Genomic DNA, 15,930 nt, shown 5'->3' on the forward strand with positions numbered 1-15,930 from the left:
ACTGAACTGCGCTGTTTCAAAGGGCACATTTTATGATATATTTTATCTCAGTCTTTAAAAAAAAATCTCAACACTGGGAATCCATAAGAAAACTTTTTTTAATTTAAAATGGGTCTGTCAGGCAGGGCGTGGTGGCTCACGCCTGTAATCCCAGCACTCTGGGAAGCCAAGGCGGGTGGATCACCTGAGGTCAGGAGTTTGAGACCAGCCTGGCCAACATGGTGAAACCCCGTCTCTACTAAAATATTAGCCAGGTGTGGTGGCAGTCACCTGTAATCCCAGCTACTCAGGAGGCTGAGGCAGGAGAATCGCTTGAACCTGGGAGGCGGAGGTTGCAGTGAGCCGAGATCGTGCCATTGCACTCCAGCCTGGGCAACAAGAGTGAAACTGTCTCAAAAAAAATTAAAATAAATAAATAAATAAAATGGGTCTGTGCATTAAGCAGCTGTAGTTCAGAGATTGACAAAGTTTGCGGAAGATGAGATGATAAATATGTTTGGCTCAGAGGAACATAGTGTCCCTGCTGCGACCACTCAGCTCTGCCGTGATAGCGCAAAAGCAGCCACACGGTGACCAGGTTGCCCTCCCTGCAGGCCTGCTAAGAGGACTCTGGCTAGATTCCAGCCCTTGCTGGTCCCCCTGGCGTTGGGGCAGGGGGGAGGCGGGCAGCATCCCTACTGTCCCACCGGACCCAGCAGCCACAGGGGCCTTTCGCTTCTCCACATTCCTTCCTGCCCTGCCCTAAAGCAGGAAGCAAGACAAGGAAACCTCTGAGTCAGGTATGTGGATGTCCTCTGCAGAACTCGCCTGGTCCCTTCCTTCAAGTCATTTGTTTCTTTCTGTGAGTCAGCCCTGCCTCCTGTTTACCAGGCACAGGTAGTTTTACCTGTGGCTCCCTGAGCAGAACTGGAGCCGGTGTAACACAGGCTGTGTCTCTGAATAGAAAGTCTCCACACTGCCGTGCCGCTCTCCACTCTGTGTTTGCCCACTGTATGCACCAGAGCACCCTCCCGGCTCCCCTTCTCCTAAGCAAATCCCACACACCTGCATCCCATCCTTCCTCAGATCACTTCCGGAATCATCTGCAGAGTTTGGGTTTCATGGTTTGTGCGACACTCTCAAGCAGCTCACCCAAATCGGGTGGTGTCAGATGGTAAAGGGTTGAGGGGTCTAGGTCAGGGTCACTTGGAAACAAGTTCCTGGGGGAGCAGAGCAACTTTCTTCTCTACTTGGAAGAATATGATAAAGCACCCCTAGACTCACTGGTTTCGAGTTCTAGGGAAGCAGATATTGATGACTCAACAGAGGAAAGGATTGTGTAATCATTGCTTTAGTCAGGGGTTAGCAAACTATGGTCCACAGGCCAACTCTGGCCCCCTGTCTGTTTTTTTAAATAAAGTTTTATTGGCATGCAGCCACATCCGTTTGCTCACAGGCGGCCTGTGGCTGCTCCCTCTCTATAATGGCAGAGAGTTGAGTCATTGCAACAGATCGGATGGCTCCTAGGGCTGAAAATATCTGCCATCTGGTCCTTTACACAAAGGTTTGCTTGCCGACCATGTTGGGCTTAGTGGAGGGGTGTAAGGGATGGTCTTACATGAGTGTGCTTCCAGCACAGGGAGCATGGAACCCAGTGGCAGTCTGTCTGGATGTTTTCAAAGAGGCTTCTTTGTAATAGTTCGCGATTATCTTGCAACATGATATCCATCTCCCCATCCCTAGTGTGGTTAACTTGGGGAAGTTTGCTTTGTCCAAGTAGAGGGGGCTGTAGCTTGTTCACAGCCCAAGAATGCAGGAGCACGCAGGATGCTGGAGCACCAGCTTTTCTGACTTGTTAGTGATAGCCTGGGTTAGGGAAGGTTGTCCTTGGACCACATGGGCTGGGCATGCCCCTCAATTCATGGAAAGTGACTCAGAAAAGTTCAAGGTTTCACCAAGACTAAGAGGTGAGGAGGAAGTTCTTTCAGAACATAAGGGTACTAGGGTGGTGATTTCATTCTGTTCTTTTTTTATGTGTGGACTTTTTCAAGGGCACAAATGTTTTGTGTCAATTAAAAGCAGATTTGTATGCATTTTGTTACAATGATTATGATTTTAAAGTCTTAATAGTATTATACTATACAATCTACAAAAAGATTTGAGCATCTTATAAGCCCTGATAATTATGCCTCGCTCTAAGAAACATGGGTATCTGGAAAGCCACATTATAAACTTTAATATTATAAATGTGCTTTCTGTTTAGAAGGAATTCTTGGAGGGTCTCCTTTAAGAGTGGATTCCTAGGCCAGGCACAGGGGCTCATGCCTATAATCCCAGCACTTTGGGAGGCTGAGAGGATTGCTTGAGCCCAGGAGTTCAATACCAGCCTGGGCAACATAGTGAGACCCCATCTCTACAAAAAAAATTTAGCTGGGCATGGTGGTGCACCTGTAGTCCCAGTTATTTGGGAGGCTGGATTGGGAGGATCGCTTGAGCCTGGGAGGTCAAGGCTGCAGTGAGCTATGATGGTGCCACTGCACTTCAGCCTGGGTGACAGTGAGACCCTCTCTCAAAAATAAATAAATAAATAAATAAATAAATAAAAACAAAAATAAAAAAACAGGATTCCTAGAGCACAGCCAGCATGCAGAACTTGTTTTCTAAGGCTTTTCTCCAATAAAAGGAACCAGGGCTCCTCAGAGGAATGACTGAGTCTAGGGTTGGGGCAGGGACTGTACAAGATGAGCCTGGAGTATCTTATAGTGCCAGAAAATAAGCGCTCAAATACACCCATATGTAAACCCAGCGGTGACAACAGTGTGGGTATGTCATAGGGACACAGGAACCAACAATGACCAAAGGCAGAACAAGTTAAGCAGCAAAATTAAGTAGTAGTGGATTATAATCCAATATATAAAATGAATCCACAGCCCAGACTGATACGCAGGATGGTTGAATAAATTAACAAATGAAGAATAGAGAAATCTGCTGTGCAGAAAATTGCAAATACTTTATGTAGCTACTGTGCCCTTAAGGAGGTGGAGCATAGCTCCCCCGCTCCCCGCTCAGTGTGGGCTGCCAACAGTAAGCTCCCTCCAAAGAGTACAGTGTGGCAAAGGGGACCGAGGAGAGGAACATCACAGTGGAGAAACTGGTGTATACCAACTTCACCAGGCGATCAGGGCCAACGTTGACAGGTAAGTCACATTGACAGCATGCCCCTTGATATCATAGGATAACAGTGGCACTTCACTTCCATGGTCTCTCTCCCAGAAGTCCCAGGCTAATCATAAAAACACATCAGACAGTTCCCAATTGAGAGACATGCTGCAAAATGCCGGAACAGACCTCTTCAAAACTATTAAGGTCATCAAAAACAAGGAAAGCCTGAGAAACTATCATAGCCTATTCAGGCTGCTATAATAAAACACCTAAGATTATATGATTTATAAACAGCAGAAATGTATTTGTCACAGTTCTGGAGGCTGGGAAGTCTAAGATCGAGGCACTGGCAGATTCGGTGTCTGGTGAAGGTGCTTTCTGGCTCACAAATGGCTGTCTCTCTGCTGCGTCCTCACATGATGGAAGGGGAGAGGGAGCTCTCAGGGGTCCCTTTTATGAGGGCACTAATCCCATTCGCAAGAGCTCCATCCTTATGACCTCATCACCTCCCAGAGGCCCCACCTCCTAACACCATCACCTGGGGGTTAGGTTTCAACATAGGAATTTGGGGGTGGGGGGCACAAGTGTTCAGTCTAAAGCTATAGCACCCTCACAGCAAGAGGAGTCTGAAGAAGCAGGCCTGAGTATGATGCAGTACCTGGATGAGGTTCAAAGACAGAAGGAGAACATTGATTAAACAGAAAATTTGAATAAAGTGTGACCTTTAGTTAATATTAATGTACCAATATTGATTCATTAACTATGACAAACACACCCCATAGTAAGTCAGATATTAATAATAGGGGGAAGTGGGTAGAGGGCATATGGGAGCTCTCGCCTGGCTGTTGCAATTTTTTAGTAAATCTAAACCCATTCTAAAATGAGATGCTGGCCAGGCGCAATGGGTCATGCTTGTAATCCAAGCACTTTGGGAGGTTGAGGCAGGAGGATTGCTTGAAGCCAGGAGTTTGAGACCAGCCTGGGCAACATAGCAAGACCCTGGCCAGGTGCAGTGGCTCACGCCTGTAATCCCAGCACTTTGGGAGGCTGAGGCGGGCGTATCACTTGAGGTCAGGAGTTCGAGACCAGCCTGACCAACATGGTGAAACCCCGTCTCTAATAAAAATACAAAAATTAGCTGGGCATGGTGGCGTGCACCTGTAATCTCAGCTACTCGGGAGGCTGAGGCAGGTGAATTGCTTGAACCCAGGAGGCGGAGGTTGCAGTGAGCTGAGATGGTGCCACTGCGCTTTTGCCTGGGTGACAGAGTGAGACTCCATCTCAAAAAAAAAAAAGTATAATGAAATATTTATTTTTTACAAATTTTTATGTAGAGACCAGGTCTTGCCATGTTGCCCAGGCTGGTCTCCAACTCCTGGGCTCAAGCAGTCCTCCCGCCTCGGCCTCCCAAAAGTGCTGGGGTTATAGGCGTGAACCACCACACCCAGCCCTATAATAAAATATTTAATCAGCCATCAGCTGATTGCTGTTCCGTGTGTGGCCTGGCAGTATGTGTTGAGCATTTGAGAAAAGGTGATGGCCCGGGGTGAATGGCACCCTCTCTTAGAGACAGTAACATGTACTTGGTAAAGTAATACGTGAAGATGAAAAGTACTGGAAAGAACACGGGCTTCGGAGTTGAAGACACAGGCTGGAATCCTCATTCTGCCTCTCAGTGTAAGTGTGTCAGGTCCCCCAAGCTTGCTGACCTCACGGCCCTGGATCATGGGGATATGCAGAGCAACCTTGCTCGCAGACTTATTTACATGCTTAAGGGATATAACATTAATGAATCAGCACAGTGCCTAAGGTTAAGTGTCGATATGGGGGAAAAAAATCTAAAATAGCAGTGATACAGTATAGGCTGCAAAGCAGCATATGTTATTTGGAGAAATGAGCAAGAGTTGGAAGTAATTGCTATGAATGTAGAAGAGGGTGACAGGAACAGGTTGGAAAGAGAAACTCCGTCCTGGTGGCTAAGCCCAGGATGTGGGAGGGTGGGATAGGGCTGTGAGGCGCAGTGGCTGGCGACGCTGCTTCCTGGAGGGGCTGTGGTGCTGAGGTCTGGGGCTGCGTTAGGAGGGAGGTGGGGCTCAGGGACTTTAAATAGAGATCATTGTGAAATGGTTAATTGGGAAAGTCAGGTCCAGCCTGCCTTTGTCTTCCCTGAGTGCCTTGCACACACTCAAAGTTCCGGAAACGCTTGTTAGTTGCTTGATGGGTTACATTCCTAATGAGTGTGTAATCAACCCAAGAATATATGGACATAGAATAGGCTGTTGAATGTTTTCTTTTTCCTCCTTATGGTTGTGGAGTTGAACTGTGTGTCACATATGTTATAGGATTATCTAGCATCACTTAATAGAGAAAGCTGTAACATCAGTGCAGTGGGCTTTCTATATTTCCCCGTTAAAATATAAGAAGTGCTGGGCACAGTGGCTCACACCTATAATCCCAGCACTTTGGGAGGCTGAGGCAGGAAGATCACTTGAGCCCAGGAGTTGGAGGCTACAGTGAGCCATGATCATACCACTGCACTCCAGCCTGGGAGACAGAGCAAGATCCTTTCTCCAAACACACACACACACACACACACACACACACACACACACACACACATAAAGGAAGACTGCCCCCCAAGCCTTTTGGGGTTTTAAATTACAAGACACACACACACACACACACACACACACACACACACACACACACACACACACATAAAGGAAGACTGCCCCCCAAGCCTTTTGGGGTTTTAAATTACAAGACTTTTGGGGTTTAAGCACTGAAGTGTTGGGAATGTTCCCCACTGAGGCAAGGAGTTGCTGATGAAGTGATGGGAAATGCAAGCGGAGCCTTGAGCCGTGGAGGTGAAGGTTGACGGAGCCTGCGTGAGCTTGCCCATCAACAAGACAGCAGGCACAGACAGGCCAGCTGTTGTGAGCTTGGCTTTAGGACTCCATTCAGTAGGCAGGAGGAGAGCTGCAGCAGAGGCGGGCTGTGGGTCCCTGAAGCACATCGCTGCCTTCACAGCTGGGCGAACTCCCATCCAGCACGGTAAGCAGAGCCGGGTAAGGGACCTCTGCGTTTGCTCTCGGGGCACTTCATCCCAGATGGGACCGGTTTCAGGACGCCTGCGCCGTTTGTTAGGGGTTTGTAGTTCCCAGTGGCTCTTTTGTTCTGCTATCTTGAAGGGCAGGTTGCTTGTCAGCTCACAATGCTGTGGGTAAGGTCTGGTGAGGTCGGCGAATGTGTTCTCATTGTTTATTCTTCTGCCTGAAGATGAGAAATAATGCAAATCAGGGTGCAGATTCCGGCTCGAGCTCCACAGGCGTGCACGTATGTGTAAGGGCATGCTCGCCGGTGCTGCATGTCCTCGTGGATGCATGCAATTTTTACAGCTTTGGGATTCACGGTTAGCTGAAAGCACATTGGAACTGGAAGGCGGTGCTCTTAACACCGTGTTCTAGGCTGGAAGCCGTAGAGCCATCATCTGCTCTGATGGGACTGCAGCCCTTGGTATGTGGGACCCTTGCTCCATGTGAGTTCTGCAGATGGGTTCCCCGAGGGAGCTGGCTGGAGGACGCCAGCATCGCATGAAGACCTGCCTGCCTCGTTTGCCTTTTGTTTTTCAGTAGCAGTAAGAAACAGGCATTCTCACTACACAGGCATTGAATGCGGACATTGAGAAAAAATGGTGAGTCAGCTACATCCTCAAGAAAAAAAAGCGGCGAAATCAGGTGTGCATGTTTAGTCATGAGAAATGTTCCCTGAGTGCGTTTGCACATAGCCTGCTGATTGCAGTGAGATAATTTAAATAGAGAAAATGGAATCACCATGGTTCTTAGCATTTTCCAGTTCTTTTATTTTGCTCTTTGGTGTGATTGTGACAGTTTAAGGGTTTTACTATACATGTGCTTTTTCCCCCATTTTATGTTGTGATAAAAGAAAGAGATGATTAGTTTTGGCTATATTTCTAAATGGTTGGAATGCCTTTGCTTTACTAAAGGAGGCTTTTGTGTGTGCAGAGGGTCGATGGCATTTTCACAGGGAAATTGATGCATAAATATGTTTGCACACACAGGCTGTCTCTTTGGTCTGCATTTACTGACTCACAAGAGTAGGTGTCATTTTGAAATGCATGTTTTTAGCGGTTGTGCTAGTTGAAAGGTAAAAAGGCAAAGGAGTTTGAAGAAAGGTTTTTGGAAATCTACCTGGTAGCACTTACGAGTAAACAGCCTACTGCCTCGTAGATGGTCTTAAGATTTATAAGATGAATGGAAAATAATATTTTAATGTATCATATAAAAAAACTGAAGATTTGGTACCAAGTTGATGAATGGTTGGCATATTTCTTTTCATTACGGAATAGAACCTTTGAGGTCATACTCTACAAGTATTTCTTATTATTTTATTGCGGAAAAGCATTGCATGGGTGGTAGAGGCACATTTCTTTCTTTTGTCACACATAGTGGCAAAAACATTTTATACTTTGTCCCTTTCTGTTTCTCCGCCTCCACCTGCGCCCACCCCCCTGCCCCCCCGCCCCTCCCGCCCCGATCACCACCAACCCAAACCAACACCATACCTCTTAAGGAAAAAAATTGCAGGGGAATTCTCATCTACAGAGGCATGAACAACACACACAGAGTTTTTTACAGAGTGCTAGGAATAACCATACACGTTGGTGTCAAGCATATAGGCTGCGGAAGGCTCTATTGCCCAGCCAGAGGGACAAATGACCCTGGTGAATGCACGCTGACTGCTGCTTGTTTTGCATGGGCTGGCTGCTCTTCCAGAGTCCGCCTTTGGATTTTGGAGGTTGAGGAAGGAAGGGAATATTTTATGTGGCCTTTGGAATACATTTACTTTACACTACCTTTAATTTTTTACCTCTCATATGCATTAAATTTTTAAGAAGACCAGGGTAGGGGAGCAGTGGGAAGAAGCTGATGTCTTGTATCCACCCATCTTTCCCCTGTCCTCGGGCACTGATTTCCAGCTGGCTTTTCCTAGAGCAAGTAAGACAGTCGGGTCATTTCTGGAAGGCTTGTAGACATCCTTGGATGTCTGAAGAGGTCCTAGAGTTATTTACTTATTTACCTTTAAAACATATTTGCCGACACCTTATTTAAAATTCCTGAAAGTTCACAGTGCCTCTTCATATGTATACCTTGGGTCCTACTATGCGGTTACCATCTTGATTTTATAATAAAGCAAACTGGGGGCGGGGTGACTAGATTCTCACAACCAGTTAGTGAAGAGCCCTCGTGGGGCAGCATGGCTGATTTTCAGTCTGGTGGGCTCCTGCGGACTAATGGGTCGAGGTCCTCCAGGTAAGGCTGAATGTAGAACTGGCCCAAGAATTCCTAGTTATTCTCTTAGTAACTTTCACATCCCTTATCCAGTTTGCTGCCAGTGCAGTGAGAAGGAATTTCAGTTTGGACTTCTGGGAGTGAAGTACAGAAACCCGTTAATCAGGCAGAGACAGCATGTGTGCTCCTCAGCCTGCGTTGGTGTGGCTTGCGAAGCCACCTAAGCATTCTGACCCTCCATTTCTTCATCCATAAAACAAGGAACACAGATTAAATTATTTCTTATTTAAAAATTATTTATTTTTTATGTTTACCATTACCTTGATCTTGAAGTTTAAATTATTTCCCAGGTCCCTTCCAGCTGTAGTCATTTTTGGTTCTTAGGGAGAGAAGCCAGGGACTCAAATTTCCCTTCAGTCATATTTCCAGCTCTGTGGGGTGATTTGTGGCTGCACTGTTTTGCTCATTTGCCGTCATTATTTCCAGGAACAAAAGCATATGAATATATATGAGACACACGCACAGGGGTAATAGCTTCGATATCCATTTACAAATAAAATCAGCTCTGTCAGCAAACTCAATTTTCTGTCAACAGGGCTTTGTTGATGGGAATGCCCTTGACAGCTAAGCCTACTTCGGTCTTCTTGTGGTAATGCCTCATAAAGCCACTCACTGCCAAGGTGCTCTTGGGTATAACTTGCATGAAATTTGTTATAAAATTATTCCGTTAAAAAAATCTAGCTGGCGGACCCTTAAATGTACTTGGAGGCCATTAAGGGTGGAAAAGCTAGAAATTCTAGGAAAATTTTCAACATTTATACACGTGTGTGTGTATACACATATACATGCCCATACACATATGTGTACTACACACATTTTCTATAGTAATTATGCATATAAAGTTAATGTCATGTACAACAAATATCTGAAGTCTATTGGATAAACAATCCATTTCCGATTCTGGTTCAGCTGAGTTAGAAGATAGGCAGGCAATGATCTGAGATGGAAGGTTTCCACAGTTTGGGGTCACGTGCAATTGTGATAGAAGGAAGATTGAGATTTTCTCTTAATTTATGAAGCTGATATGCTATTCTAACTAGTTTTTAATATATCTTACCACAGGGCCACCCAAAATTCAAAATTACTCCTGATTTTGTAAGCTTCACATATGTTTTTGAGAATGAGGTTTTATACTAATCTGGGATTACAGCTTTCTAGGCTGTGATATACAGTTTTTATTAACATTTCCTATTTTAAAAATCAATTTTGCTAATTAAAACCTTTTTATTAAGAATATATAGAAGTTCTGGGAAGCAGAGTGAGGATATTAACAAATCACCCTCAATCCTATCACCCAGAGTCTCCGCTGTGGAACATGGAAGTATATCTGCTTTGAAGTCCTTGCAAATATGTTTTTACACATGCAATTATATTACACATACTGTATGTAAGCTGCCTTTTTCTGTAACTTGTATGTGTATGGTGCATGACATTCTAAAATCTAACAACCCTGTAGCCATACTGTGGACATTTAGGGCTGCTGTTGGTGTTTGACGTTGTAAATAATACTGCAGCAGATATCTGTAGTGAAATACTTGTGCTCTTCCATGTTGATTTCCTTCGGATAAAATTCTGGGCATGGAGTTGCTAGGCAGGCGCTAGAAAATATCACCACGTTGCCCTCCAAAAAGTGTATGCTTACTATTTACACTCTAGGGGCACCGATCGCCCAGGACAGTCCTACTTCTCCCAAAACTTTGTCAATATTAGACATTTTTAAAATTCTGTGGTTTGATAGGCAAAAAAGTTATTTCATTTTTAACTTGCATTTCTTCAGGGACTAGCAAAGTCAGACTTTTTTGGTGCACTGACTAGCCATTTGTGTTTTTTCTTTTGTACATTACTCTTCAGCGCGTGTTCATTTTCCTACTGAAGATGAGCCCTTTCTTGATTATTGTCATTTAGGTTGCAGATAACATCCCTACCGTGTGCTGTGTGCCTTCCAGATGTTAGTGGGTGGTTACAGTTCAACTTTTTTGACATACAAGTGTGTTGAATTTTAGCGTTGTCGCCCTTGCACCTGGAGCCTCTGTGTGGCCAGTTCTGCCTTTTGGTGGCTACTGGCTTCTGTTAGTTGTACATTGCCATTACTGGTCTCTTGTTACCATGTGTGCCGCAGAAGGTGTAGCCACCAGGAGCTCTGTCAGCATGAATTCCCTAGGAGGTGTAGACATCCATCTCGGAAGGCTGGTAGAAAAATTGTCTCTGTGGAAAAATTAAGAAGTGCCCAGCTTTCCGACAACCCTAACTCATCGTAGTTCCCATCTTTTGCTCTGGTTGACAGGAAACTCGTGGTCCTATTGGAAGCACAACCATAGGACCTCTGTACATTCTCGTGTCCGGTCTGCTCTTTGCATAAGGGTGCTTGCCCCTGCTTGTGCCCTTCTGCTTTTTGTTTACATTTGCTCTCACTGTGATGTTTTTATGTTCATTTTGATACTCAAGTTGTGTGTTTGTTCTCCTGCGTGAGACACTTCTAAACATTTCATCATTTAGGGTATACATAGATCAAAGTAAGTGGGGACCACATAAACATATGTAGAAACACGTTCTGAACACCAAAGAGCTTCTCGGTCACCAGTTAATATTGTGGTTCTTTGTTGTTGTTGTTGTTGTTGTTGTTGTTGTTTTTTGAGATGGAGTCTCGCTCTGTCACCCAGGCTGGAGTGCAGTGCCGCAATCTCAGCTCACTGCAACCTCTGCCTCCTGGGTTCAGCCAGTTCTCCTGCCTTAGCCTCCCAAGTAGCTGGGATTACAAGCATGCGCCACCACGCCCAGCTAATTTTTTTTTGTATTTTTAGTAGAGACAGGGTGTCACCATATTGGCCAGGCTGGTCTCGAACTCCTGACCTTGTGATCCACCTGCCTTGGCCTCCCAAAGTGCTGGGATTACAGGCGTGAGCCACCACACCTGGCCAATATTGTTATTACAGTCACTGTTTTATGGAAAAACTTAGTGACCTCATATCGTTCTTACTGGGCAAGTGAGCCTAACACAATCTGTTTCTATAGTAATTGTGGAAATGTGACGTTACAGTGGAAGAGGAGAGTTGGGACATGGCTGTGGAGTGGAGCTGGGGCTGTCCACCTCTCACTTAGTATGGAATCCTCTCCTAGGCCCTTCAGCTCCAGCACACTGGAAGTCTAAGGGGTTTTGTTTGTCTGTTTGCCCCTATGTTTTAATCACCGCTAGGATCAGAAGAACTGCAGTCTCTGTGAACAGGTCTTCAGGTGACATCAGTGTGTTACCTCCCTGGTTAGCAATTAGCATTCCCGAGGTCGGGTGCTGTGCTGCATGCAAAGTTGAATCAGGCACAGACAGAACCTTCCTTGAAGGAGTTTGTCCTCTCTTAATAGTGAAGATAATATAGAAATTGTCCTAGCCAGTTTACACTCCTAAAACAAATTACCATAGACTAGGAGGCTTAAACAACAGACTTTTATTGCTCACAGTTCTTCTGGAGGCTGGTAGTCCAACGTCAAGGTGCTGGCCTGTGGATTCCTGGTTCACAGATGGCACTTTCTACCTGTGTCCTCACATGAGGGAGAGCAGAGAGAGGAAGCAAGCTCCCTCGCATATCTTTTCTTTTTTTGAGACAGGGTCTGGTTCTGTCACTCCAGGCTAGAGTGCAGTGGTGCAATCACAGCTCACTGCAGCCTCAAACTCCCAAACTCCTAGGCTCAAGCAATCTTCCCACCTCAGCCTCCTGAGTAACTGGGACTTTAGGCATGTACCACCATGCCTGGCTAATTTTGTTTGTTTTTGTAGAGATGGAGTCTCATTATGTTGGCCAGGAGGGTCTCAAACTCCGGGCCTCAAGCAGTCCTCCCACCTTGGCCTCCCAAAGTGCTGGGATTACACGCTTCAGCCACAATGCTATCCTTGAGTGCTTCTTATGAGGGTACTCATCCATTCCTGAGGGCTTCACCCTCCTGACTGCATCACCTTCCAAAGGCTCCACCTCTTCATCCTATCCCATTGGGGTTAGGATTTCAACTTATGGATTTGGGAGGCAGGGCACAGGCATTTAGACTGCAACATAAATGTGAATGGCTGAGGAGCATGGGATTCAGAAGGCCCGAGCACATCAGGCTGCCTGCTTTGCTTTCTGCTCCTTTCTTCTCTCTTCCCTCCTCCCTTCCTTTGTTTCTTTGTTCCTTCTTTCCTGTTGACTCAGTGAGCTTTTGCTGCAATCTGCTTTGTGCCAGGCATTGTGTTGGACCTGGAATACAGAGGTAGATGAGGCAGGGGTGAGCACAGTCGTTTCAGCTAGGAGGAGAGATACTAAATGAAAATACCACAGAATGGTGAAGTGCAGTCTAGGAATCAACAGGTAGAGATTCAGTACTGTGCAAGTTCAGAGAAGAAAGGCATATCTGTGTCAATGGGTCCAGGAAATGTTTCATGGAGGAGGTTGCTTTTTTTTTTTTTTTTTTTTTTTTTTGAGATGAAGTCTTGCTCTGTTGCCAGTCTGGAGTGCAGTGGCATGATATCAGCTCACTGCAACCTCTGCCTCCTGGGTTCAAGTGATTCTCCTGCCTTAGCCTCCTGAGTAGCTGGGACTACAGGCGCCCACCACCATGCCCAGCTAATTTTTCTATTTTTAGTAGAGACAGGGTTTCACCATGTTGGGCAGGATGGTCTTGATCTCCTGACCTCGTGATCTGCCCCCCTCAGCCTCCCAAACTGCTGGGATTACAGGCGTGAACCACCGCACCCGGCCCCGCATTTCACTGGATCTTCAGAACAGGAATGGCTTCCTTGGGGAGGGTCCCAAAAAGTGCGAATCAAAACAGAGATTTGGGAACCACCAGGCATGCATAGGTAGGGCAGGGCATCTCAACTCACTGCAACCCATCAGAGAGTACATCTCAACCCACTACAGCTCATCAGACAGTACATCTTAACTCACTACAACTCATCAGACTGACATCTCAAATCACTACAGCTCATCACAGAGTACAACTCAACTCAGTACAACTCATCAGACAGACATCTCAAATCACTACAGCTCATCAGACAGACAAATCACTACAGCTCATCAGACAGACATCTCAACTCACTATAACTCAGACATCTCAAATCACTACAACTCATCAGACATCTCAACTCACTATAACTCAGACAGACATCTCAACTCACTACAACTCATCAGACATCTCAACTTCACTACGGTTCATCAGACAGACATCTCAAATCACTACAACTCATCAGACATCTCAACTCGCTACAACTCATCAGACAGACATCTCAAATCACTACAGCTCCTCAGACAGTATATCTCAACTCACCACAACTCATCAGACAGACATCTCAGCTCACTACAACTCATCAGACAGTACCTCTCAAGTCACTGAGTTTTATGGTCTGTGACTGATACCCCGATAGAGTTGTGGAGGTGAAAAGAATACAGGTGAAAGTGTTTGGTAATATGAACACCTCCTAGATCCATCCTAGATGTCTAGAAATTCACATACACATTTGTGGCTCAGAAGAGCATGTAGGTGTAGGGAACAAGGTGTAAGGTAAACTCAAATTCATACATTGCTTGTTACCTCTGCCCAGACCTTAGTAGCTTTAAGCTTTTGTCAATAATAGATCATACCTAATAAATATTACACAACCCAGATGCTTCTAAAACTATTATTGAGGTAAATGAAAATGTCTGCCACAGTAAGATAGTATTTATCACAGAGATTCAGATATGATTTTTTTTCTCTTTTAACCTAAAGAAATATAGTAATAACAAAAAAGTCAGCTAATATGCTATAAGCAATTGTTGGGAATCTTGGCATGAAATCCAGTTAGGGTACTGATTGTGCCCATATCAGATTTTTAGAAGCAGATAACCTGATGTGTTTATGAGTTTTATTTCTGGTCTGCTTTCTCCTCAAAATTTCCTGTGTATACATTGAAAACAAAAAGCCAGCCACAGATCACTTGATCATTATAGCATAAAGAGTAGAATAATTGTGTTAGTTACCTTGCTGCATAACAAATCGTCCACCAATTTGGTGGCTTGAACACCACTAAACATTTATTATCTCATACACTTTCTGAGGGTTAGGGAGGAGATTAGCTGGGTTATTGTGGCTCAGCATCTCCTGAGATTGCAGTCAACACGTGGGCCAGGACAGCCGTCTTCCAAAGGCTTGCTTGGAGCTAGAGGATCCGCTTCCAAGAGGGCACCCATATGTCTGTTGGCAGGAGGCCTCAGTTCCTCCCCACATGGATCTCCGTATAGGGCTGCTTGAGTGTCCTCACAACATGGTTGTTGGCTTCCCCGCTGTGAGTTATCCTCGGGAGAGAGGAAGGAGGAAGTTGCAATGCCTGTGTGATCTGGTCTCAGAAGTCACACATCGGCACTTCTGCCATACATTTTTAAACCAATTTATTGAGGTATAATTGACATATAAAAGGCTGTACATATTTAATGTATACAACTTGATGAATTTGGAGATAAGTATCTATAAGCCTGTGAAATCATCACCACAATCAGTGCCTTAAACGGATCCATCACCTCCAAAAGTTTTCTCCCACCCTGTCAACCCTCTTTTTTTTTGTTGTCATTGATAAGATCTACCCCCTTAGCAAATTTGTAAATGTACAATACAGAATTATTAACTACAGACGCTGCGCTGTGCAGTAGGTCTCTGGGTAATTCATCTTGCGTAATTGAAACTTTGTGCCCTCTCACCAATACCTCCCTGTTTCCCCTTCCCCCATCCCCTAACAACCACCATTCATTCTATTTGAAAGTTTAAAATTCTTCACGTAAGTGGGACCATGTAGCACTTGTCTTTCTGTGCCTGGCTTGTCTCACTTAGCATAATGTCCTGTAGGCTCATCCATGTTGTCACAAATGGCAAGATTTCCCTCCTTTTTAAGTCTTTTCTATTCCTCTATATGCACGCATCACATTTTCTTTATTCACTCATCTGTCAATGTCTGCTTAGGTGGCTTCCATGCCTTGGCATTCACAATATAAATAGTTCACACAAGTGAACTATTCACAATAGTTCATGTCGTAGTAAACATGTGAGTTCTGCCATATTTTGCTTGTTCAAAAGGAGTCAGAGTCCGGCCTACTTCTAACAAGCTCCACTTGTTTGAAGGAAGGAGTTTCAAAGGAATTGTTGGGACTTCTTTGTTTGTTTGTTTTTTAGAAATGAGTTCTCTGTCTGTTGCCCAGGCTGGCATGCAGTGACATAGTCATGGCTCAGTGCATCGTTGAATTCCTGGATTCAAGTGATCCTCCTGCCTCAGCTTTCCAAGTAGCTGGGACTACAGGTGCATGCCACCATACTTGGATAATTTTTTTAAAAACTTTTCTTTCGGTACCAGATCTTGCTATGTTGCCCAGGCTGGTCTCAAACTCCTGGCCTCAAGTGACCCTCCTGCCTAGGCAACCCAAGT

General features: G+C 45.1%; 1 protein-coding gene across 6 annotated transcripts in view; it reads left to right on the plus strand.

Moving 5' to 3' along the window:
• SHROOM2 (shroom family member 2) overlaps positions 1-15,930 on the plus strand; it is a 163,015-nt gene that overhangs the window by 119,964 nt on the left and 27,121 nt on the right. For 2 of the 6 annotated variants that reach the window (XM_011545506.1, XM_017029492.1), the window contains exon 1: positions 3,084-3,176. The exons of 2 other annotated variants lie outside the window; for them this stretch is intronic. The gene's annotated coding sequence lies outside the window, so the exon portion shown is untranslated. Of the gene's footprint in view, positions 1-3,083; positions 3,177-6,099; positions 6,196-15,930 lie in introns of those variants that run through there. 2 more of the 6 variants (NM_001320663.2, NM_001320664.2) reach the window with 1 other exon arrangement.

Source organism: Homo sapiens, chromosome X (genome assembly GCF_000001405.40).
Source record: "Homo sapiens chromosome X, GRCh38.p14 Primary Assembly".
Lineage (NCBI taxonomy): Eukaryota > Metazoa > Chordata > Mammalia > Primates > Hominidae > Homo > Homo sapiens.